Genomic DNA, 1,593 nt, shown 5'->3' with positions numbered 1-1,593 from the left:
CTGGTAGAATTCGGCTGTGAATCCATCTGGTTCTGGACTCTTTTTGGTTGGTAAGCTATTGATTATTGCCACAATTTCAGCTCCTGTTATTGGTCTATTCAGAGATTCAACTTCTTCCTGGTTTAGTCTTGGGAGAGTGTATGTGTCGAGGAATTTATCCATTTCTTCTAGATTTTCTAGTTTATTTGCGTAGAGGTGTTTGTAGTATTCTCTGATGGTAGTTTGTATTTCTGTGGGATTGGTGGTGATATCCCCTTTATCACTTTTTATTGCGTCTATTTGATTCTTCTCTCTTTTTTTCTTTATTAGTCTTGCTAGTGGTCTATCAATTTTGTTGATCCTTTCAGAAAACCAGCTCCTGGATTCATTAAATTTTTGAAGGGTTTTTTGTGTCTCTATTTCCTTCAGTTCTGCTCTGAATTTAGTTATTTCTTGCCTTCTGCTAGCTTTTGAATGTGTTTGCTCTTGCTTTTCTAGTTCTTTTAGTTGTGATGCTAGGGTGTCAATTTTGGATCTTTCCTGCTTTCTCTTGTGGGCATTTAGTGCTATAAATTTCCCTCTACACACAGTTTTGAATGCGTCCCAGAGATTCTGGTATGTTGTGTCTTTGTTCTCATTGGTTTCAAAGAACATCTTTATTTCTGCCTTCATTTCGTTATGTACCCAGTAGTCATTCAGGAACAGGTTGTTCAGTTTCCATGTAGTTGAGCAGTTTTGAGTGAGTTTCTTAATCCTGAGTTCTACTTTGATTGCACTGTGGTCTGAGAGATAGTTTGTTATAATTTCTGTTCTTTTCCATTTGCTGAGGAGAGCTTTACTTCCAACTATGTGGTCAATTTTGGAATAGGTGTGGTGTGGTGCTGAAAGAAATGTATATTCTGTTGATTTGGGGTGGAGGGTTCTGTAGATATCTATTAGGTCCACTTGTTGCAGAACTGAGTTCAATTCCTGGGTATCCTTGTTGACTTTCTGTCTCATTGATCTGTCTAATATTGACAGTGGGGTGTTAAAGTCTCCCATTATTATTGTGTGGGAGTCTAAGTCTCCTTGTAGGTCACTCAGGACTTGCTTTATTAATCTGGGTGCTCCTGTATTGGGTGCATATGTATTTAGGATAGTTAGCTCTTCTTGTTGAATTGATCCCTTTACCATTAAGTAATAGCCTTGTTTGTCTCTTTTGATCTTTGTTGGTTTAAAGTCTGTTTTATCAGAGACTAGGATTGCAACCCCTGCCTTTTTTTGTTTTCCATTTGCTTGGTAGATCTTCCTCCATCCTTTTATTTTGAGCCTATGTGTGTCTCTGCACATGAGATTGGTTTCCTGAATACAGCACACTGATGGGTCTTGACTCTTTATCCAGTTTGCCAGTCTGTGTCTTTTAATTGGAGCATTTAGTCCATTTACATTTAAAGTTAATATTGTTATACACATATTAACTTGATCTTGTCATATCCATACAAATTTGATCCTGTCATTATGATGTTAGCTGGTTATTTTGCTCGTTAGTTGATGCAGTTTCTTCCTAGTCTCGATGGTCTTTACATTTTGGCATGATTTTGCAGTGGCTGGTACCGGTTTTTCCTTTCCGTGTTT

Source organism: Homo sapiens, chromosome 4 (assembly GCF_000001405.40).
Source record: "Homo sapiens chromosome 4, GRCh38.p14 Primary Assembly".
NCBI lineage: Eukaryota > Metazoa > Chordata > Mammalia > Primates > Hominidae > Homo > Homo sapiens.
Note: the sequence above shows the minus strand (reverse complement) of the source record.